Source organism: Homo sapiens, chromosome 4 (genome assembly GCF_000001405.40).
Source record: "Homo sapiens chromosome 4, GRCh38.p14 Primary Assembly".
NCBI lineage: Eukaryota > Metazoa > Chordata > Mammalia > Primates > Hominidae > Homo > Homo sapiens.
In genome coordinates, this window is record NC_000004.12 from 48,116,393 (window position 1) to 48,138,894 (window position 22,502).

At 42.4% G+C, this 22,502-nt stretch overlaps 2 protein-coding genes across 5 annotated transcripts in view, besides 4 other annotated features; both read right to left on the bottom strand.

Moving 5' to 3' along the window:
• The window catches only part of TXK (TXK tyrosine kinase), a 67,858-nt gene extending 50,000 nt beyond the window's left edge, over positions 1-17,858 (bottom strand). For both annotated transcript variants that reach the window (XM_017008581.3, NM_003328.3), the window contains exon 1: positions 17,763-17,858. Coding sequence is in view for 1 of the 2 variants with exons in the window: in NM_003328.3 (NP_003319.2) it covers positions 17,763-17,778 (16 nt within the window). In the remaining variant the exon portion in view is untranslated. The remainder of the gene's footprint in view (positions 1-17,762) is intronic.
• Positions 10,747-11,609: an enhancer, noted in NCBI's record as "OCT4-NANOG-H3K27ac hESC enhancer chr4:48129156-48130018 (GRCh37/hg19 assembly coordinates)". NCBI's record gives its function as "activates a minimal SCP1, AML or CMV promoter by ChIP-STARR-seq in primed H9 embryonic stem cells {active_cell/tissue: H9 hESC(primed)}" and the evidence as "EXISTENCE:reporter gene assay evidence [ECO:0000049][PMID:30033119]".
• Positions 10,960-11,254: a silencer, noted in NCBI's record as "tiled region #289; HepG2 Repressive non-DNase unmatched - State 24:Quies". NCBI's record gives its function as "represses a minimal TATA promoter and a strong SV40 promoter by Sharpr-MPRA in HepG2 cells {active_cell/tissue: HepG2}" and the evidence as "EXISTENCE:reporter gene assay evidence [ECO:0000049][PMID:27701403]".
• Positions 13,131-13,250: an enhancer, noted in NCBI's record as "active region_21537". NCBI's record gives its function as "activates an Ori minimal core promoter by ATAC-STARR-seq in GM12878 lymphoblastoid cells {active_cell/tissue: GM12878}" and the evidence as "EXISTENCE:reporter gene assay evidence [ECO:0000049][PMID:35858748]".
• Positions 17,300-17,594: a silencer, noted in NCBI's record as "tiled region #15119; HepG2 Repressive non-DNase unmatched - State 24:Quies". NCBI's record gives its function as "represses a minimal TATA promoter and a strong SV40 promoter by Sharpr-MPRA in HepG2 cells {active_cell/tissue: HepG2}" and the evidence as "EXISTENCE:reporter gene assay evidence [ECO:0000049][PMID:27701403]".
• A 1,532-nt stretch (positions 17,859-19,390) lies between the features above and the next one.
• Positions 19,391-22,502, bottom strand: part of TEC (tec protein tyrosine kinase) — a 134,056-nt gene continuing 130,944 nt past the window's right edge. For all 3 annotated transcript variants that reach the window (NM_003215.3, XM_047416106.1, XM_011513737.3), the window contains exons 17-18: positions 22,273-22,430; positions 19,391-21,107 (exon numbers count right to left, since the gene is read on the bottom strand). In NM_003215.3, coding sequence (NP_003206.2) covers positions 21,024-21,107; positions 22,273-22,430 — 242 coding nt within the window. In that variant the 3' untranslated portion in view covers positions 19,391-21,023. The remainder of the gene's footprint in view (positions 21,108-22,272; positions 22,431-22,502) is intronic.

Below are 22,502 nucleotides of genomic sequence, written 5' to 3' on the forward strand. Positions count from 1 at the left end.
TATCAGTCAGGATCCCAACAAGAATCAGAAGGCACACTCAAACTGGGATATGTTGAGAAGGATTTATTTATAAAAGGAAGTATAGAGATGTAGGCAGAGTGTAGTAAAACTACAAGGATAGTGCAGGAATCCAGAGCTGAGCCATCACCACACCTAACCAAGTGAGGAGGGAAGGGAAGGTTACCAGAACCTAGAAGGAGAGGGTATCTGTGGCCCAGGCCACCTGGAAAAGAGCATGTATCATCCATCCAAGGACACAGACTGCCCAAGGAGACTTCACAGCAAGAAAATCAGGAGGATAAATATCCTTACTCCACTGTCCTCCCTCCCTCCTTGCTGGGCTCTCCATTGGCCTAACCCAGCAGGAAGCCAGATGGTTGTATGTAAATCACACAGCAGCAAACAGCAGGCTGGTGAAAGGCAGAGAGTGGACCGGCAGGGAGAGAGGCAGACAGGAAACATCCAGCACAGTCCACCCCTCAGCATCCATTTTTTGTTTCTTTTTTTTCAGACAGAGTCTCACTGCGTCGGCCAGGCTGGAGTGCAGTGGTGCTATCTTGGTTCACTGCAACCTCCTCTACCTCCCAGGTTCAAGTGATTCTCCTGCCTCAGCCTCCTGAGTAGCTGGGATTACAGGCATGTGCCACCACACCCAGCTAATTTTTTGTAGTTTTTAGTAGAGATGGGATTTCACCATGTTGGCCAGCCTAGTCTCGGACTCCTGACCTCAAGTCATCCGCCCAACCTGGCCTCCCAAAGTGCTGGGATTACAGTTATGAGTCACCGCGCTCGGCCCATCCTAAAGTGGAAATCATATATGCCCTCTTCCATTATCCATTCCATTTCCCCTTTGCCACTGCCAACACCTTGGCTGGAGGAGGTGCCCAAATATCCATTCCTGTAGGATTTGGGTTTTTGTTTAGTCTTGTCTTTGTAGGGTTGCTACAGTTTTCCATTGACCAGGACTATTAAGAATATTAAGAAATAAAGCTAATGCATTCCCTAATGTTTAAACAAAGTCCTCTTTGCTGTAATTGTGAAGCACCAACCCAATTTTCCTCTGTTAATCAGGATAATCACCCCAGCTACATTGACCCCCTTCAGGGCCTATAAATTCAGTAGTACAAGGAATCCCATAGTGGCCACAGGGCAGTTCAACTTTCAATATTCCCTAATAAAAGGATTCTTCTCTTGGCAACGGAATCTCCAAACCTACAAAAACCAAAGTCTCAGGGAAAGTAAACAACAATACTCTAGTGCATTATTAGATGAAATGGTGAGAGAGGCTGCTCCAATCTCCACTGCTTTGTTTCCAGACTCATGTATCCTGGCTATGGAAAAACAAAAGCATATTTGCTGATGGTTTAAGACTTTATTGTATCCTACAGGACCCTACCTGAACTTTGCAAGATGTTGTCTTCCAGATGTGATAGTAATTGAGCCTTTAAAAGGCCATTCTTCTGTTTTATCAAGTCAGCTGCTTTGGAGTTATGGGACACATGGTAAGGTATTTGGGGACCATTGAACAAGCACCAGTGAGACTAAGAAAAAGCTAACTCCCTCCACAACATGGGTCATCTTGTCAATCTCTGGTTATATCTTCCTATTCTGTCCCTGTTCTAAGAAATTCAACCACATCCCTTTCCCCAAGATCTCCTTGTCACCAATCTCCCAATTTTGTTCCTTCCAAATTGGCAGACCAATTTGTTTTTACCATTGCCCATGAATCGAGGTAGATCGGTGTCTCAGACTATCTCTTTTCCTAATGAAGTGAATAAACTTATGTGTTTCCTGAAGTTCTGGGAGGACTTTATTTCAACACTATCTATCAGGCTACCTCTGAATGAGGCTATAGTACAATGGCTATTTCCTGTTGGTACACATTTATGATGCAGATCTTCCTGTAAATCAAGCCAGAGATTTTCTCCCATAAGCTGTTGGAGAACTACCCAAGAGGCCACTGGTGTGAATTGAAGTAGAAGCAGGAAGAGTAGGTACAATGTGAATAGATGCTGCATGCTTATGAAGCTTTCTTGAAGCTTCTGGATCTGCTAGGGCCCATTTTCATATATGCCACTTCTGTATTAGGATAGAAAACTAGTACGCATGACTGATTTCACAGTCCTTTGAATCAGATAACACCCAGCTCACGATAAGCAGCTTGGATCACTTAACTATTTGATGATCCGTGATTAAGCATTTAGTCTTTACCAGTAGAAAGTCAGGAGCTGCTTTTGAGATGGAAAATATTCCTAGGGGTTTGTGCTGCAATTCTCTTATTGGGGTTTTCCTGAAATGCCATAAAGCCAGCATCTTGCCCTCTCTTTGCCCTTTATCCCAAGCAGTACCAATGACAATTTGATTAATTGATAACTGAGTTATTTCTCCAGCAGAGGGTATCTCTGGACCTCTAAATATATGACCAAATAAATCCCATACCCAACTCTGAATCTGCTTCCTAGAGCTACTTCTGATACAAGAGAAAACTTGACATACTTAGATTAACTTTGAAAGGGTTATTTATAAAGGGACTAATTACAAAGAAGTGAAAACCACAAAAGATATACAGGAACCCAGGTCCAGCAGTACTGGAACTGTCACCATCCCTAGGTTCACAAGGACCAGGAGTGAGAGAGAGTAAAATAGAGCAGAGATCACTTTGAGGAGATGAATGATCTGCTGTTTAGGGACACAACAACCTCATTACAACTTCATTCCAGGGTTCCCAACAGGTATAATCCAACCAGAACCCAGAGGGCTTAGGAGGACATTGAACTAACCCTTACAGATTTTTGTTTCCAAGATAAAGTTTAGGATGGAGAGGAATGAATACTAAAAGGTGGGGAACACTGAGCCATTTTGCAGGCTGGCTGCAAAATTTAATCCCTACACATTATCAATACATATTAGTTCCTTTCCTATCAAAGAAGTTGATCTTCTAAACCTACATTCATACATCAGTTACTTACCTTTCTCTGATTTGGACGTCACCATTGCTCAGTTGTTGAGCCATGGACAGACTGATGGTCCAATGGGAAACCTCTCTTCTCTACCATGGACATACAGTTCAAGTCCAAGCCCAGGCAAGGACTCACCTTTGCACCCACTGCTGTTTCATTGCTCCCCCCGATTTCTCTCTTCCTTTCTCTCTTCCTTTTCTTCCATTTCTCTCTTCCTTTTCCTGCACCCAGAAATCACTCATTTTCCATGGCCCACCCAAAGACTTACTTCTGGAGACAAAAATAAAATAAATTACTAATTCCCAAGAATCTACACTACATCATGTTCTTTGGTGTTTGGATTTCAGCTGCTTCTGACTGCCATTTTCATCTGCTGTGTCTGCTGGGATGAGGAACCTGCCAAAAAGTCACTCTTCAAAGAGAGGGCACATTAGCACTTAAGGACTCTGTTGACTTTGGCAGGAATGGGTCTCATTTACATTTTAACCAATTTATTCCAGTGCTGTTTTAGAGCCCCAAATAGATCTGTATCTATTCAGGCCACAGGATGCAAAACCAAATGTAGGTTACATAAATGAATGAAGTAGGTCAGAATAGAGTGTAGACTGTGGCAAAATGTTGTGCCCAAGCCCACTTGGAGGTATTCAAATTCAAAATTTTAAAAATACTCCCTCCTTCTCCTATATCACCATTTTTCCCCCTCTACTGGATCATCAGCATATATATACACACACACACACGTACACAAATATACGTATACATACACATACATATGTATATACATGTGTATATATGTATATATGCATATATATGTATATACGTATATGTGTATATATACATACACACATATATACGTATATATGTACATATATACGTATATATGTATATACGTATATGTGTATATATACATACACACATATATACGTATATATGTATATATATGCAGTTACTTCAGCTATTAAAATACATATATACGTATATATACACATATATACGTATATACGTATGTATATATAAAATACATATATACGTATATATATGCAGTTACTTTAGCTGTTAAAAACAAAACAAACTACGCGTGATCTTATTTCCCTCATTGATTTGCTCTCTATTTATTGTAAAATCCAGAAATAAGTCTCTTTTTTTTTTTTTGGTTGAGACCAAGTCTCGCTCTGTCGCCGAGACTGGAGTGCATTGGTGCCATCTTGGCTCACTGCAATCTCCGGCTCCCAGGTTCAAGCAATTCTCCTGCCTCAGCCTCCAGAGTACCTGGGATTACAGACACCTGTCACCATGCCCGGCTAATTTTTGTATTTTTAGTAGAGATGGGGTTTCACCATTTTGGCTAGGCTGGTCTCAAACTCCTGATCTCAAGTGATCTGCCCACCTAGGCCTCCCAAAGTCCTGGGATTAAAGGCATGAGCCAGTCCTCCGGCCCTAGAAATAAGGCTCTTTACTTGCTGTCTCCAACTGCTCTCCTTCCATTACAGTCAGGCTGTCATCTCTACCACTTCTAGAAAAAAAAAACAAAACTGCTCTTGTTAAGGTCACCAGTGACCCATGCACCACTAAATCCAACGGTCAACTCTAAGTCCTCATCTTACTGAACCTCTCTCTTGGCAGCATTGGTACCATATCCCTTGGCTTTGCTCCTTGTCAGTCTCCTTTGCTGCTTTGTTCTCTACCTCCCTGACCTCTGAATAATGCTAGATTTCCCGCAAAGCTTTTGATTTCTTCTTTTCTTTGTCTTATTCACTCTTTTGATTATCCCATTCCCTCCTGCAGCTTAAAAACTATCTATCAGCTGATGACATCAAAATACACACATCTAGCCCAGTTCTAATTAACTCCAGACTCACCTACCCAAATGCATTCTCAAATTCTCCACTTGGATGTCTAGTAGATACTTCAAGTAAACAGGAGATGAAATCTGAACTCTTTTTCTTCCTCCCTCCCCAAACAGGCTCTATCACCCTTCTCCATCTTGTCAAAAGCAATTCCGTCTTTCCAGTTGCTCAGGTAAATAATCTTAGTCATCCTTGACTCCTCTCTCTCTCTCACACACAGGCCAATTTATCAAGAAAGTTTGCTGACTGTGTCTTTAAAAAATACAGACTTCCCCAGTGTCCATGGGAGATTGGTTCCAGATCCTCCGACAGATATCAAAATCCATAGATGCTTAAGATCCTTATATAAAATGACATAATATTTGCATGTAACCTACACACTTCCTCACATATACTTTAAATCATCTCTGGATTACTTATAATACCTAATACAATGTAAATGCTATGTAAATCATTGTTACACTATATTGTTTAGGGAATAATACCAAGAAAAAAATGTCTGTACATGTTCAATACAGACACAACCATCCTTTTTTTTTCAAATATTTTTGTTCCACAGTTGGTTGAACCCAGCAATGTGGAACCTGTGGATACAGAAGGCTGTTTATTCAAGAGTTTCCATTTGGGATGATGAAAAAGTTTTGGAGATAGAGAATGGTTATGGTTTATAACAATGTGAATGTACTTAATGTTGCTGAACTGTACACTCAAATATGGTTAAAATGGTAAATTTTTGATATATATATTTCAACACAATTTAAAACACAAACACACACACACATACTTATTGCTTTCCCCATCTCATCCATCACCACCATGGATAAGCCACCATCACCTCACCTGGCTCACACCAAAAGCCTCCTAACTTCTTCCTGCTTCTCCTCCTCCCACTATGCTTTATTCTCAGCACAGCAGCCAGAGTAATTAATTTGTCTTAAGTCTGATCATGTTACTCCTTGTCTGAGAACCCCACAATAGCTCCCCATTTCACTCAGGGTTATAGCTACATGTTCCACAAGAGCCTATAAAATGCTCCATGATCTGGCCTCCTGTTCCCTCTCATCTCCTCTGCAATAAGCTCCTGCTCACCTCACTCAGCCACACCGCAATGCTGCTGCTGGAGCCATAGGGCCTGCTCTCACCAGAGATTCTTGGCTTTTGTTTTTTCCAGAGCACTCCTCCCTCCTTTCTTAACTCCCTCCAATCCCTCCAAGTCTTTGCTCAAATCTCATCTTCTAAGTGAATAGCCCCCTGATTTGACATTACGGCCATCTGCACTCCCTAACTTTTGAGGTTCCTCACTCTGCTCTACTTTTTCTTTCTTTTTTGGTGTATTTCTCACCTTCTAACATGCTGTGCAATTTATTTACCTTTTTTTCTTTGCTGTTTGTCTACCTCACTAGTATGTAAACAAGCACCTTTGTCTATTTTGTTCACAATTATTATATCCCAAGAAGCTACAACACTTTTTGACACAATGAATACTCAATAAATATTTGTTCAGTGAATGAATGAATGAATGAATATGTTTGAAAGAGCACAAAATTATAAGCTTGCTCAGAGGATGTACCTGTCTTGATTCATTCCTAGTGGAAATTTGCAAATGGTATTTGGAACAGAACAAGCAGGTTCAATCCGAAGTGGTGAACAGTGTGACCAGAGAGGAATAACTCAGTCATAAAAGTCCTTGAAATAAAGGAAGATAAGACCTTGGGAGTCTATGTAGTAGGGAGGCTTCATAGATACTAGAGAACAACTTGGCCACAGGCCAAGCAGAGCAATCAGTTCTCAGCCTGGAAGCCATTGGAAAATGGTCCAGGAAGGTGAGCTCTGACCATCTATATAGCCTCCTGTTTTAATATAAACAAATTATTTAATATCATCAAAGCCAAAAAGTGTATATAATGGCCACTTTATCCTTGAGTAATCACTAGCCTGTTATGTTATTTTCTACTTTTTTCTGTATGCTTGAAATATTTCAAAACTTATATAAAGAAAAGGAAAAACCCAGAAAATCAAATAGGTCTGTGATTTGATAGTTAGGTACCCATTCTATGATTGATAGCTTTCTACATGTACATAACTTTTAGTGATAGATGCAAAAGGATTTTTATTTCCCCAATTTGGCCTCTGTCTTACCTTTTCCCCAACAGAATTATCATCTTCCTCACTATCCTTAGTAAGAAAACCATTCTGTTGCTTCCCCTTTCCAATCTCCCCATGTCTGTGAATGAGTCCACCACAGAAAACTTAGATTCTTCCTGAGCCCCACCCTTTGTATTTGATCTGCCATCAATCTATCAGTCTGTTCACAGGGCTTGGCTTTTTCCTTCTTCTACACCCTCCCAATAAGCAAGGCTAAGCCCTCATCAACTCGTACCTGTAATTTTGCATTAATTCGCTTAGTCCTCACAATGACTCTGTGAAGTAGATGCCGTTTTACAGATGAGGAATCTGAATCACAGAGAGGTTACTCCTTACCAACAAAGGGCTAGTAAGCGGGGAGCCAGGATTTGAACCTGAATCTAGAGTCTCTGCTCTGAGCTGTCTCCTTCGATTCACCCCATATACCCATTTCCCTAAAAGCCTGCTTCAGCCAACTGCTCTTCATCCTCAGCATTATATCTTCCCCCACTTTCAAGGTCTTCCATAAGTGACCCCACCCTGACTACTTTAGCTTTCACCAATTCCTGCTGCACCAGCTTCTTCTGTTTGCTCTGTTCTCACAGACACGTCGTGCATTTCTGCCTCCAGCCTGGAAAGGAAGACTTCCATTGCAATACACTCCCATGTACTCTTCCTTTCAGTTCCCAAAGCACCTATGCCCTGTCCCAAATGTCCTGTCCCAAAGCACAGTCCTGCCCTGTGGTTCCTAGTTAGGTACCACCTGAGATCGTCATTTAAGTTTCTCTGTGTAGGCTTCATCTCTCACAGGGCTTCCCAATCTCACCACTATCAACATTTTAGACAGGATCATTCTTTATTGTGGGGAGCTGTCTTGTGTACCACTGAATATTTAGGGCATCTCTGGCCTTTATGCACTAGATGCCGGCAGCAACATAACCCCCTCCCTTCTAACACCCACACCACCACCACCTTCCAATTGTGGAAACCCAAGTGTTTCCAGGCATTGCCAAATGTTCCCTGGGGGCAAAATCAACCCCAGTGGAGACACTGGACCAGATTGTAAGCTTCTCAATCTCAGGGACTGCATCTTATCCTTTTTTTTTTATTTTTAATTTTTTTTTTCTGTCTTCTCCCTAGCTTCTAGCATCAGTGCCTGGCACATAACAAAAGCTCAATAAATAACTGTTAAATAAGACCCCACCAATATCAACACCCTTACATTACATCTGAGCTCTTCTTTTTTTCCACTCATTCATCTTATCACCCAGTATTTCACAGTGTGATGCTGGCCACAGAGAAAGCTAAGCTGACCGTGACCTTTTGACTGAGTGGAACGGCAAAGGTGAAGACTGAGCTTCCGGAGCTTTAGCCAGCATTTGTGGGGGCTCATAAGTCTAACCTTTTATTCCAGACATATATTTTTAAACAAATGCTTATCCAAAATAAAGTACCAAACCATGAGATGCCAAATGAAATTATTAAAAACTCTCTGGCATTCAAATGTGTTTGTTTTTTCTTTTCTGTATTAAAAGAACATATGGGGTTCAGCAGGCTTTAGTATCAGGCAGACATGCACTCAAATCACTGTTCCCTTTTCTTGGAGCAACAATGTGATTTTGGGCAATCAAATCTAGAAAACGTAGGTAATAAAAGTTGTCTTCTAAGAAAGGGTTTCCCCACTTCTACCAACACAGCCCTTACCATATGCCAGGCATGACAGATACTTAGATCTTACTATACTACGCCATGCTAACTTACTCACTATACTAACATTATGATCCCCATCTTACACATAAAGAAACAGAGGAACAGAGAGCTTCAGCCATTTATCCAGTCACATAAAAAGCAGCTGAGCCAGAAGTCAAACCCAGAGTCCATGAGCATCACAATAGGACTATCCTTGTGGATGAGAAGATTAAATAAGATTGCAGAGGCAAACATGGCTAGAACATACCAGCTACTCTCAGTTACTTTACCACTTTGTCCCCATCCCCCAGTTCCCTAGAACTCATTCAGCAACTATTTATTGGGTACTCACAAAATACATTTAAGGTAACCAAATAGGAGCAGGTGTGGTTTTCCCTCTGAAGACAAAATGGAGGAAGAAGGCTTAGTAAACGAAAGCGAATCTTCAGCTCCAACTCCTCTCTTCTGAGCCAACTTTATCCCTGACTCAAAGGCAGATGTTTCCCCCGTTCAGGACTCCAGGAGACTCTCTCTCCCTGCTATCAAAGCAGGCCTCAGGAGAGGCTCTCACACTTTTTCTCAGTAAGGTATAAATGACAGACACAATGTTAAATAGTAAACATGCTGTACTGCAGCGCTTCAGCAATGTCATGCTTACTGCAGTGCAGAGGCGTGTACATGTTTGTAAGCATGACATTTGTAACAGTCAGGGTGAACACAGAGAGAGGTTTCTTTTAAGGAACTGGCTCAGGCAGTTGTGGAAACTGGCAAGTCCAAAATCTAACAGGGCAGGCCGGCAAGCTGAAGAATGAGAGAAGAGTTGCAGTTTGAGCCCAAAGGCGGTCTGCTGGCAAAAGTCCTCCTTGCTCAGGGGAGGTCTGACTTTCATTGATTAGGGACTTCAACTGTGGGAGAGGCCCACTCACATGATGGAGGGTGACCCACTGTACTCCAAGTCCACCGATTTAAATGTTAATCTCATCCAAAAATTACCTTCACAGAAACATCCAGAATAATGTTTGATCAAATATCTGGGCACCATGGCCAAGCCATGTTGACCCATAAAATTAACCATCACAACACATTAAATTTAAATAGTTTGACACTTGAAAAACATGGTATAAACATTTACATGAAGATTTTCTTCTGCCTCTGTCACCCCTGAGACAGAAAGACCAATCCCTCCTCTTCATCATCCTTCTCAGACTATTCAACATGAAGATGACGAGGATGAAGGCATTTATCATGAGCCACTTTCACTCCATGAATAGTAAATCTATTTTCTCTTCCTTATGACTTTCTTAAAGCATTTCTTTTCTCTAGCTTACTTTATTGTAAGAATACAGTGTATGATACACATAACATACAAAATACGTGTTGATCAACATTTATGTTATTGAGGCTTCTGGTCAATGTTAGGCTATGAGTAGTTACATTTTGGGGAACCACCTTATTCAAGTGTCAACAACTTTGTGTGTGTGTGTGGTTGTTTGTTTTGTTTTGTTTGAGATGGAGTCTTGCTCTGTCATCCAGGCTGGAGTGCAGTGGCATGATCTCGGCTCACTGCAACCTCCGCCTCCCAGGTTCAAGCGATTCTCCTGCCTCAGCCTCCCAAGTAGCTGGGACTACAGGCACACTCCACCATACCCGGCTAATTTTTTTGGTATTTTTAGTAGAGATAGGATTTCACCACATTGGCCAAGCTAGTCTCAAACTCCCAACCTCAAGTGATCCCCCTCTTTGGCCTCCCAAACTGCTGGGATTACAGGCAGGAGCCACCATGCCTGGCCAAGTCAAGAACTTTGAAAGAGAAATTGCTGTTATCAGTCAGCAGGCAGGAGTATCTGGGACTAGAGAAATGCCTCCCCCAGCTCCCTGACCTCACAACACATGGCCACACCTGATAATATTCCCCTTAGTTGTCTTCACTGTCTTCTGCAGCCTGGAATTTAGGAGAAAATATTTTCAAAAATTCTTATGTTTCCTGATTCAATAGCAAAGACAATGGCCTTTAAAGAAAGATACAGACCTACCCTACCACTGCTTTAATTATGACCCAATTTTATTTAATTTCCCTCAAAGTCCAAGAACAGTGGTGAGCAGGAAGGCAAACCACTGCTTTGTTTGTGGTTCCATCCTCTGCCCAGCAGAGTTGCTGCCCAATAAATAATCATTGCGAGAAGAAAAATCACACTATGAAAGCCAAACAGCTCCCTGGTGTTCCCTTGCTTGGCATGACTTTCCAAGACAGCAGGCATCTTTATTTACAGGTTGAAGTGTTGGGCCAAAATTCATTCCAATGCAGGTATCAAGGAGTATTCATTTCATGATCATTTTCAATTTACAGCAGCACAGGTGTTCCCAGTAAGTAAATAGACAGCGCCCTTCCACAGGCATTCTGTGATTACAGAAGCCATTCTTTGAATTGTTTTGCCGATTAACCTGCAGAGGGAAAGCTCTTGAGCTTTTAGCAAATTCCCAACTTAGGCAGGAACTCATGCATATCAAGGGCCTTTGCCAGAGTGACAAAAATGCCCCAGAGATAGGCAATGACTATTTGCCTGCTGGAAGGAAATGTGGAAAGAATATATTCGGGCTTGAAGATTATCACTGAAGGAGCTGAGCTTCCTCTCCCAGGCTTACATCTGCGCTGTTCTTTTCATCTACTTCTCATTCCTCAGTAAATATCTCTAATGATGAGCCTCAGGCCAGCAAATCAGAAAAAGGGCATCGCATCAGATGTAATCTCTGTGACCTTTAGAAACCGGCACATCTGTCATGGGATAGGCAGTTGGCCCTCCCATCTTTGGTATTTGTGTTTTTTCCTTGGAAGGATTTGCGCCCCTCTGTCCTCTAGGAGAGGCTCCTATTGACATTCCTTCCACCCCCAGAGGTTCCTGGGTGGCAACAGCTGGGCTGATTGGGAACAGGTTTCCACCAGGGGGCACTGGAAGAAAGCAAAAGTGAGAAGCACCCCTTCTCAGAATAGCTCCTAAGGTCATCTCTGAAGAGGACAAAGGAACAGATGTGAAGAACTGTGGGGCCCGGGCTGCGCGGGAAGCAAAGCCGCTGTCGCTTCCTCATGTCTAATGTTTTGAAGTTTACATCGTCACCTCCAGTTCATCCCCTGGCATTTCCGATGTCAGGGTTTCGTTTTGAATCAGTGCCTTGAGTGAAATGCATTCCTACTGAATTTGGTCATCATAATAACTGGCACATGGCTAGTGATTTATATTTAAAAACATGGCTTGAAACTGGCTCAGTTTTGAGAGCTGCCTTAACCCAAAGACCAGGCTTGTTGCCCAAGCCAGGCGCTCCAGGTTGTGGTTTTAAGATGAGGAATGTCTGATACCGGCTGCTTTTGCAGTTGATGGGCTGTGGTGAGTGGGGAAAGCCTTAAAAACTTGTGGCTTTGGAAAAATGGCTCTGGGTGACCAGAGCTGATTCTGTAAGTTTGCTGCAACATATCCTTTTTGTTTTTTTTTCCAGAAATTTACAGAAAGGCCAAACTTCCTCATTACTCTGCCATAAATGCCCACCACTACATCCTTTTTTTTTTTTTTTTTTTTTTGAGATGGAGTCTCACTCTGTCTCCCAGGCTGGAGTGTGGTGGCACGATCTCAGCTCACTGCAACCTCTGCTCCCGGGTTCACGCCATTCTCCTGCCTCAGCCTCCCGAGTAGCTGGGACTACAGGTGTCTGCCACCACGCCCGGCTAATTTCTTTTTGTATTTTTAGTAGAGACGGGGTTTCACTGTGTTAGTCAGGATGGTCTCGATCTCCTGACCTCGTGATCCACCTGCCTCGGCCTCCCAAAGTGCTAGGATTACAGGCGTGAGCCACCGCGCCCAGCCTATCTTCAAAAGGCCCCATTTCTTAAGGGCCTTTTGAAGATAGGCACGTTTTAGCCACATTAACCCATATTATCTGGGGAGAGTGACACATAACTAGCTTGGCTATAGCATGGATGGATTTCTACCTCTGAACAGGAGTTAGAAAAGACTTCCAAGTTGGAGTTAGACTTCTTGGTTTGGAGTTAGACACCAAACCAAGACCCCACACCAAGGAGAGGGGAAAATAGTAAAATTGGGACATTGAGTTTTTCACATATTTATTCAATTTAGAAAGTTATCCTTTATTCTGAGTTTATGCCCTTTATACATTTGGGGTCTGAAGTGATCCTGTGTCTGTGTTCGCACGTGTGTGCACTTTTCCTTTTGATACTAAAATGTCCATTATTCTAAGAAGTGATGGTCTCCAGAGATGTTAGTTTTTCTAAATGTATGGATAAAATAAGTGAGTAATTTGTGTTAGACCTTGACTGTTCTGTTTTTTTGACATTATACTGCCAGTGAAACCTTAAAGAAGGGAGGATAACTACTTTAGGGGAGTCACTGGTGACTAAGAGAAAACAAGTACCTAGCTAACAGGACACCAAACTGATCAATTTGAGTGGAAGAGTGGTGCTTGACCTGTCTATGGCCTGAAGGGGTGCTGTGTGGGGTGAGGAGATTCTAGAAGCCTGGCAAGCTGGATGGAGTCCCGGGCACCAGGGAAGACAATGTTTCTGGGAGTAAAAGGTGCTGTAAGGAAAGGCAGAAATCTTCCTGATGATGACCGCTCATCTGTTTCCCAGCTTCTGCCAGGGCAACTCCCCAGACACGGACAGCAGCCACCCAAACCCTTGTTTGGTCTATGAGGCAATTTTTCTTTCTTTCTCAGAAGGGGCTGATGTGAGTTGGTCTTTGCAGGCACCTTGCCCACAACTTCCCCACTCCCCCACATCTCAAAACAGTGTTTCCTAGAACACTGTTTTCTGTGAGCTCAAAGTTCATAATAAGCTCGCAGACATCACACCCAAGACATCGAGCCAGCTTGTGATGTGAAGAAGTGCTTGGCCACAAGGCACACGGGCGTGGCTGGCACTGGGCCAGAAGCCGTACTGCTCACTGACCCTCGGTGGGCAGGGAGTGTGGGCACTGCTGGCCTGGGGAGCTCCACAGAGGAGAAATGTGGGGATCTGCAGTAGTTACAAAAGGCAGCTGCAGTGACGAGTTAAAAACTGAAATGATTTAAAGACAAAAGAAAAGACACATCTAGTGTCCATTTTAATCTTTCAGAAAGGGCATCAAACTCCAGCCCCAGGCAGAAGGGTGGCCAAAGTGGCCAAGTTCTTTTTTAATCTGCGGCTTCTCCTGCTTTTGCCACACACTTAGTTATCTATTGTTGGAAACAAATTATTCTGAGACCAAATGACTTACAACACTTATCTCACACTTTTGTGGGCCAGGAGTTCTGGAATGGTTTAGCTGAGTGCTTGTGTCTCCAGATCTTTCATGGAGTTGCAGTCAAGCTGGGCCCAACCAGAGCTGGAGAATACACTTCTAAGCGAATTCCAAGCAGGTCATGGTGCCTCGGTTTCTCGTGATGGGGATTCTCTGCGGGCTGCCTGAGAGTGCTCCCAACAAAGCAGCCGGCGATGCAGGAGACAGAAAGCCCGAGATCGCAGGAATGGGAGCCGCCACCTCTGTAACCTGGTCTCAGAGGTGACGTTCCATCACTTTTACCATATTCTAATCACAAGAAGTGAGGTACTAGGTCCAATTCATACTCAAGGAGGAGGACTGCCTAAGGGCGTGAATATCTGGAGGCAGATATCATCAGGCCATCTTAGAGGCTGCCTACCACAGCTACCCTCCTTATCTTCATATTCATAATAGTAATAATGGAAGGTGTTGACCTAACAAAGTTGGTGTGAGAATCAGATACAAAAAGGAGTAAGATAGGACTCTGAAAAGAGAGGCCCAAGAAAGGCAGTGTGACCAAAACATCCTTACTTTACCCTCAGATCCAGTTATGGAGATGAGCCCAGAAACCTGCCTTTTAACAGCACCCCAGGCATGCTTCAGGCACACCAAGACTTAGAAACCACTCTTTCTACTCTCTAAGTTGGGAATAAAGAAAGGCAGAGAAATTAGGCAAACAGGGGAGCTAAGAGGTGAATTCTTTAAGCCCCCAGCTGCTTTCCCTTGCCCTGTCCTTTAAATAACTCTTCTAGGCTGGATCTGTTCTCAGGGCAACTGTGAGTTGATGGAAATGCTGGCAATACCAAGTACGTTTCACAAACTGAATCTCACTGGAGCAGTGCCCTGAGACCCCACTCCAAATCTCCCATCAGTATGATCAATATCCCACGCTCCACAATTATCTTCTCCCACCCTATAGCAGCCTTTGAAGCCAGGATTCTATGACAATGCTTAAAACAACAAATGTTTTTGGCAAATGACCCTAACAAACATATAAACTTTTTTTTTTTTTTTTTTAAAAGACTGGGTCTCACTTTGTCACCCAGACTGGAGTGGAGTGGTGCAGTCACAGCTTACTGCAACCTCAAACTCCTCAGCTTAAGCAATCTTCTTCGCTGGACTTTTTTTGTTTGTTTGTTTGTTTTTTGATTAACAGTAATACATCTTGAGGCATCACTTAGCTGTCTCCTTGTCAATAGTAAACACTCATTGTTTTACCCAGCAGAAAATGTAGCCACATTCAGCTGCAATATACAGTAGACAACAGGTGATTCTTACCATCAAATCAAATTAACAGAAGCTGGAAAGGAGAACGAGATTTCATCAAATCCATGCCAGAGAGAATAATCCTCAAAATATCCCGCCAATAGGTAGTCCCTTATTTAATCCCTTGGACAATCAAATCCTTGTCTCAACACTCACAGTGATTTATTTTATATATAACCGAATCCTTCCTGCTGTAATTTACAGCATTTTCTTTAGTTCTGACCTTGAGGGAAATAAAGAGCAGATGCTCACACAGCTTTTAATATTTAAAGATCCTTAAGTCACTGCTGAGCTTGTCCTGCCAGTGGAGGTGGCAGGGGACACAGGTTGCTGCTTTGTCGCTTTTTCTGCTTTGCTCTGCTTGGCCTATATTTCTGTTTACAGGAGGCTTGTTCTTATCTGCGTGAATGGAAGACTATGAGTTATTTTCAGGTCAGCACAACTGGAATAACCTGATTTTTTTTTTTTTTTTTTACAAAATCTACAAACAATTGTTGGCTCCTATGAGGGGATTTCGCTTAAACAGATGATATTTAAAAATTACAATCAATTTTTCCTTAATGCTACTTAAAAGTCAGAAATGTAAAAACTTGACTTTTTTAGCTGGTCTTTGATTGCTTTAATCTGATATGACTGAGCTTTGTTGAAGCTTGGTTCCATCGTCACCTAGTATTAAAATCAGACAGTATTTTCCTTCCTTATCTGCAAAATAAGGCCCTCTGAGTCTTAGAGGTAAATTAATAAGTATTTCCAAAACTGCACATGGGACTGAATAGTCTTCCAAAGCAACTCCCAAAATAAAGTTCTTAAAGCACCTCTCAGGTTTATTGTTTCTTTATATTTTGTTGCAAGGTGGGCAAAAAGGGAGTGGCCTGGGCTAAAGTTCTAGTTCTGATTTCGTCCAGCATTTGTGGATCACAGTTGGCAGCTTTATATGTATACAAATATACACATACACACACTCCCTTTGAGAGCTTATTTATACATATAAACTCATTTATATATGTGTGTATGTGTGTGTGTATATATATTTAAGGCAAAAGGAAGAGCACTTAAATCCCGAGTCTGGCAAGTCTCATGCTTGGCCGCGTGTGGTGGCTCATGCCTGTAATCCCAGCACTTTGGGAGGCTGAGGCAAATCACTTGAGGTCAGGAGTTTGAGACCAACCTGGCCAACATGGTGAAACCCTGTCTCTACTACAAATAGAAAAACTAGCCAGGCATGGTGGCATGCGCCTGTAGTCCCAGCTACTCGGGAGGCTGAGGCAGGAGAACCACTTGAACCCAGGAGGTGGAGGTTGCAGTGAGCTGAGATCGTGCCACTGCACTCCAGCCTGGGTGACAGAGCAAGACTCTGTCTAAAAAAAAAAAAAAAGTCTCATACTTAAATCCTGCGTCTGACAACCATATGAGTTTCTGGCAAGATTTAAACTTTCAAAGGCACAATTTTCTTATTGGCTAGATAAGAATAACAATTTTCACCTTGCCAGTTTGTAGTGAAGATTTCAGATAATGAATATAAAGGAACTGGTATAGACCATGGCCCATAGTAGGTGCTCAATAAATACCTTTATAAAGAAACAAACACATTGCAATTCTGATATGACGGCTGCCTTCTTATTTAGAAGACTATTCTGCTTGGTTTTTTTTTTTATTCTAATTTCTTTGGATTTATAAGCATCCCCCACAGCTCTTTCAAACCAAGGATCTTCACAGATAACAGTGTCTAGGGAATCTTTCTCTGTTCTCCTAAAACAAGCACTTATTTTTAATGATGGTCTTATATTCTATAAAAATATTAAAATAACATCTTCATATGTAGTATTATATATGAGGGAAAGAGACATTTGAGCCAGTGTTCACACTTGACCATGTTCACACTTTTAACCAGGTAGAGACTCGTGACTTTGACTCTTATTTTGGCCTTTACTCAGGCTCTGACTGCAGATAAGAATCAGTTTTGCCTAAATTTCAATTGCTTGGGAAAGGTCCTCGATAACGGAAGTCTACATAGAATTGTGAATAAATACCCCTGTGAAAATAAAGGTTAAGTCTATATGTTTACTTGATAAAGCAGATAATTTCAGAGTATAAACACAGTTGTGTTTTGACTTCTCTTCCTTTTGCCTTAAATATAGATATTTATTTGTGTGTGTGTGTATGTGTGTGTATTTATATATATATAAAGTTGCCCACTGTGATCCACCACTGCTGGAGCAAATCCAGAACTAGAACTTGGTCTCCTGGCCTTCAGCCCAGAGCTCATTACAGTCTCATTCTAAAAACAAGTACTTCATACTGATTGCATTTCTACACACACATATGCAGATTTCTGGACACTCTTTCTGTTTTTCTTTCATTTATGTTCTCAATGCTGAACCTTTATTAGAATTACATCATCACTGTGGTTCTTTAAATAAGAAACAAAACTCTGTCACAACATCTGAGGAAATTATCTTTTAATGTCCCCAAGCTCTATGCCTTGGAAAAAAAAAACTTCCTCTGCTGTTCAAGAATAACAGGCCCCAGAACAAGCCCCAAAAATAAATGACAAAGCCCATCTTACTCACAGGAGGAAAGGATCATGGTAGCCCCTTCTGCGGGGAGCACACAACAGTCTTCAGTTCTTCTGCGGTGCTCTACTCACAAAAACACATCTTTCAACTGAAATCATAGTTCGCTCAAGATGTTTCTCACGGGCAGAGTTAACCCCACCTATTTTCCTGTTCTGAAAACCTCAGAAGAGTATAAATGACAACCAATGGCATATATAAGAAAGCTCAGTAATCTCCATCCCAATCTCTGAGGGTATCTGCTATTAGTCTCTCATCCCCAAAGGTGTGGGTGACTCGCAAACATCATTTTCAAGAAATCACAAAATTTTGGTAAAAGGCACCTTTAAAATTATCAAATCAAACTGCCCTCTCTGGACTGGGAAGGAAATGAAGGCACAGACAGAATAAGGGACTTGCCCAAGGCCACACCGTGAGTGGCAGAAACAATTAGATTCTAGGCTCTGGAATATTGAGTTTAGAATGTTCCATCCTCCCACTCAGCAGACACTTTATTTGGGGGAAGTCAATCTAGTAATAACCCTAAAATGTGATTGGGGGATGGCTGAGAAATATAAAAACACCAACAATACAAAACACACTTGGGAGTTTCACTTCATCCCACTGGAAAGCATAACCATGTGTCAACTAATTAACAGAGCAACTTTAATGAAGACACAGCATATTCTAATCGCCCTTCCAATTTCCTGGTTTAGATTAAGGTCTCCTTAGCATTCTGGGTGATGACTGTTATTTTTACTTCACCTTTTGCCTTTGTTATGCTTTCGTATAAAACTTTTTTTCTAAGTCTTAGTGAAAAATATTTAAAGATTTTTGAAGGAAATGTTGACAAATGTTGCCAGGTGCTATCTATCTTGTTTTCCCATAAAAAGCATACACTGACCATTAGGACAGGGACTCTATCTTCTCCTCACTCTCTTTCATACCACCTAGTACTTCCCGTAGCTCCTCAAGGTGAAAAGGGAAGTATGGGATGGGAGGAGGGAAGGTCAGGAAGGAAGGAGAAAAGGCTGACAGTGATAGTAAGGTAGAGTGTGCCAGGACCGACTCCTTCAATGAGCTACAAGTCAGTTAAAAGTTGTGCATGGTTAGCAACCAAAATGCCCATCAATGATAGGCTGGATAAAGAAAATGTGGTACATATACACCGTGGAATATTATGCAGCTATACAGAATGAAATCATGTCCTTTGCAGGGACATGGATGGAACTGGAAGCCGTTATCCTTAGCAAAGTAATGCAGGAACAGAAAACCAAACACCACATGTTCTCACTTATAAGTGGGAACTGAACCATGAAACACATGGACACAGGGAGGGGAACAACACATACTGGGGCCTGTTGGGGAGGGCAGATGAGGGGAGAGCATCAGGAAAAATAGCTAATGCATGCCAGGCTAATATCAGGAAATATATATATCAGGCTAATATCAGGAAAAATAGCTAATGCATACCTAGGTGATGAGTTTTTGATAGGTGCAGCAAACCACCATGGCACACGTTCACCTATGTAACAAAACTGCACATCCTGCACATGTACCCTGGAATGTAAAAAAAAAGTTGTGCCTGTTTTTGTGATGGGGGTACAGTTAAACAGGTAGACAAGAAGGAATGTGGCAGATTGTGATAAGGCTCGGGATAAGCAGTTTACTTTCTTCCATTATGAGGGGCACAGGAAAAGAATAAACACAGCCTTCAGTGGATGGACTGCCTGGTGCACAGACTCTAGACTGACCAGGATGAAATGAAATGGTTCTCCAGGGTCAGAGTGAAGGCGCTGCCCAGAGCAGCCAGCCTGTGTGTTCACCCAATGCTCCAGAGCAGACCATCGTGGCCTGCAGAGGAGACGCAACTCCTGAAGGGAAGGCGCTGTGTCTTCCTCGGCTAGTTACCCCACCAACAGCAAGAATAACGTGTTGGGCAATAAACGGTCTCTGGATGACTGATACAGTTTCTTTTCGCTGGCGCTCACGTGACCGAGATAGTTTCTTTTCCTTGGCGCTCACAAGGCAAAAAGGAAGGCCCTAATTCCGTTGATGTCTTAGTAGAGCTTCTAAGGGTGAGAAATCCACACACACAGTCTTGACAGCAGGGTCTCCTGAGAGGCTGTACAACAATCCCACCATCCAGGAACCCAAGTCCAACCAGGCCTCCTGAAAAACGTCCGGGAGGCACGGAACACCATGCTGGCTGCTTCTCTCCGTAGCTTCCTGGATCCTCCGCCACAGCTCAGGCTGCTTCCGGGTCCTATGTGAGGTGGGGGCAAACTTTGTTGCGAAGGTCACCTGATCCTTCTGCCCCAGAGCTCAGCACTTCCAATTATAGTGTCTGTGTCCCAGGGAATATTCTTAAGGCTTAGAAGTAGATTACCCGGTTTAATTTTCCATCTGATTCTGATTAGCTGCGGCCACCATGGGCAGGATTACATAGGCCAAATGCACGTGGTTAAGCTGGACAGGCATCCCCAGACACATTTACCTGAGTGAGGAGGGGGCGTTACTCATAGAAGAATCTAGACTTTCTTCTCTTCAGGCATATTTGATGTTCAGGGGGAAATGAATTAACAGCTATAAGGCACAGTCTCTAGTCCTAAGAAGGTGAACTCCTATACTACAGGATTAAAAGTTTCAATTAAAAGACAATTCGTGTTTCTCATAAATATATAACTTTATATATTATATATATTTACAATATATACAGCATACAAATATTGTTCATGTAATACTAAGAGCAGTCTTGAAAACTGAGATGTTTTCAAAACAAAAGATAGGTATTTATTTATCCAAGATGGGTTCCTGATGTATCTAGAACCCAATTGTAGACAATGTCTCAGGCCCAGATTTCTGTAGAAGTCAAAGGGAAAAAGAAGGGTTGCTTGGTCATGACTCTAATACCCTTCCCCTTCCCAAATACCCTGGCCTTCAACTGGCATCAGCTAACATGGTCCCATGTGTGCACCCCTGAATGGCCAAACCCTGGGGCTACACACAGTGCCTGGTAAACAACTGTCACTCAAGTGCCTGAGGAATGAATAGAAATGAGTGATTTTAATCACCATTTCTAAGGCAACATTTCCACACTCTGGGAGATTCTGTCTAGAAGCAAGTCTAGACAGAGGCTGGTCTAGAAGCAAATTATTTATGTGTTTCCACTGTATAAGTAAAATGATCTACATGTCCAAGTGCTCAATAAATTAAAAGCCACAAAATGCCCATCCTTCCTTGTGCTTGGGAATCTGGGAGCCACTGGTCACACATCACTTATCTTCCAAAAGTTTCTTCACATTCAACTAGTTCATCTATTGTGCGCAGCAGATCTTCGAAAGAAGGCCTTCCCTCTGGTTTCTACAATTAAAAGTCAAAGAGAAGCTGTGGGTTCCAGAATCCATTCCACAAAACCTCTCACTGCTCCAACTCCTAAACACAGCATATTACAGAGAGACTTCACTGCTTTGGGACTAGGACATACAGGCATCTCCAAAGGGGTCTTGTCTCTACCCTAATTTACCCTGCATGTACTGCTGCTAGGCTAACGTTTCTAAGACACTGCTTTCATGTCTCTCTTCAAGACCCTGATAGATCTTTTTACTGCCTGTGAAATCAAGTCCTGCAAATTTGTAGGAGCCTCTATAATCTGCCACTTCCCGACCCTCTTGTTACCCAATCTTGTTCCCCACAAAATCCCTCACATGGGCTGTCTGTTAAATAGGGCCACTGTCTCCACTGTTGTGCACACTGTGTTTATAACCACCTCCTTACCTTTGCTCAAGCTGTTCTCTCTCCCTTTAGCACCACTTCCTGCCCAGAATGTCTCTGCCCATCCCAATCAATGCTCTTGGGAGGCAGTACAGCAAGTGGTTGAGACTCTGGGCTTTGGAATCAGACAGGCCTATACTGTTCTGTAGCTAAGTGACCCCAGGCAAGCAGCAACCTCATGACCCTTAATCTTCTCATCTACAGAGTGGCTACAGTCAAAGTATCTCCACCTCAAAGTGTTGTTTTGAGAACTAAATCCAAAACACTAAGTATAGTGCCTGGTACATAATACATGTGAGCTAATGTTACTGTCTTTCAGAAGTCATTTGGTATCTAATCTCTTTTAGGAGGTAACATTTCAATACTTTCAAAGACCTCGGAAAGTTGAGGTTTAGAGAAAGAAACCAACTCTGGTAAAAAAATAATACTTCAACTCTACAAGTGAACCAATGAAAAAAGAGCTACTTATCCAGGCTTATTCCCCAAGTCCCTATCTCAGGCAACCATGGAAGGAGTCCCACTTGGAAGTGAGGAAGCAGCCTGAATGTATCGAGGTAGTTATTAGCATTTTCCACATCTTTACATTCTTCTTCCCGTTATTCAGAACTTGAGTTGAGAGGGTTGGCTTCCTACCTAGAGCTTGAAATCACTATAAAGATGCACCACCTCACTAGGCTATAAAGACTGCATGTTATCCATCTACCAAGCCCAATCCCTAAGAGATTCAAAAAGAAAGCACACAAAAAATCTATACCTCCTGCCAACATCTCAGCATCACCTCATACACATAGTTGGACGCCAACTTCGGCTGGTAGAGTCGGTGGCCTCGAGTAACCATGGTTACCACTTCATAATTGGTGTATTTTTCAAAAGGCATTCTGCCTTCCGTGAATACTTCCCACATTAAAACACCTGGAAAAGGATAAGGATTACCAAATGGATGTATCCACTTTCTCCTCAGGGCGGACGGACATGAGGAAACAT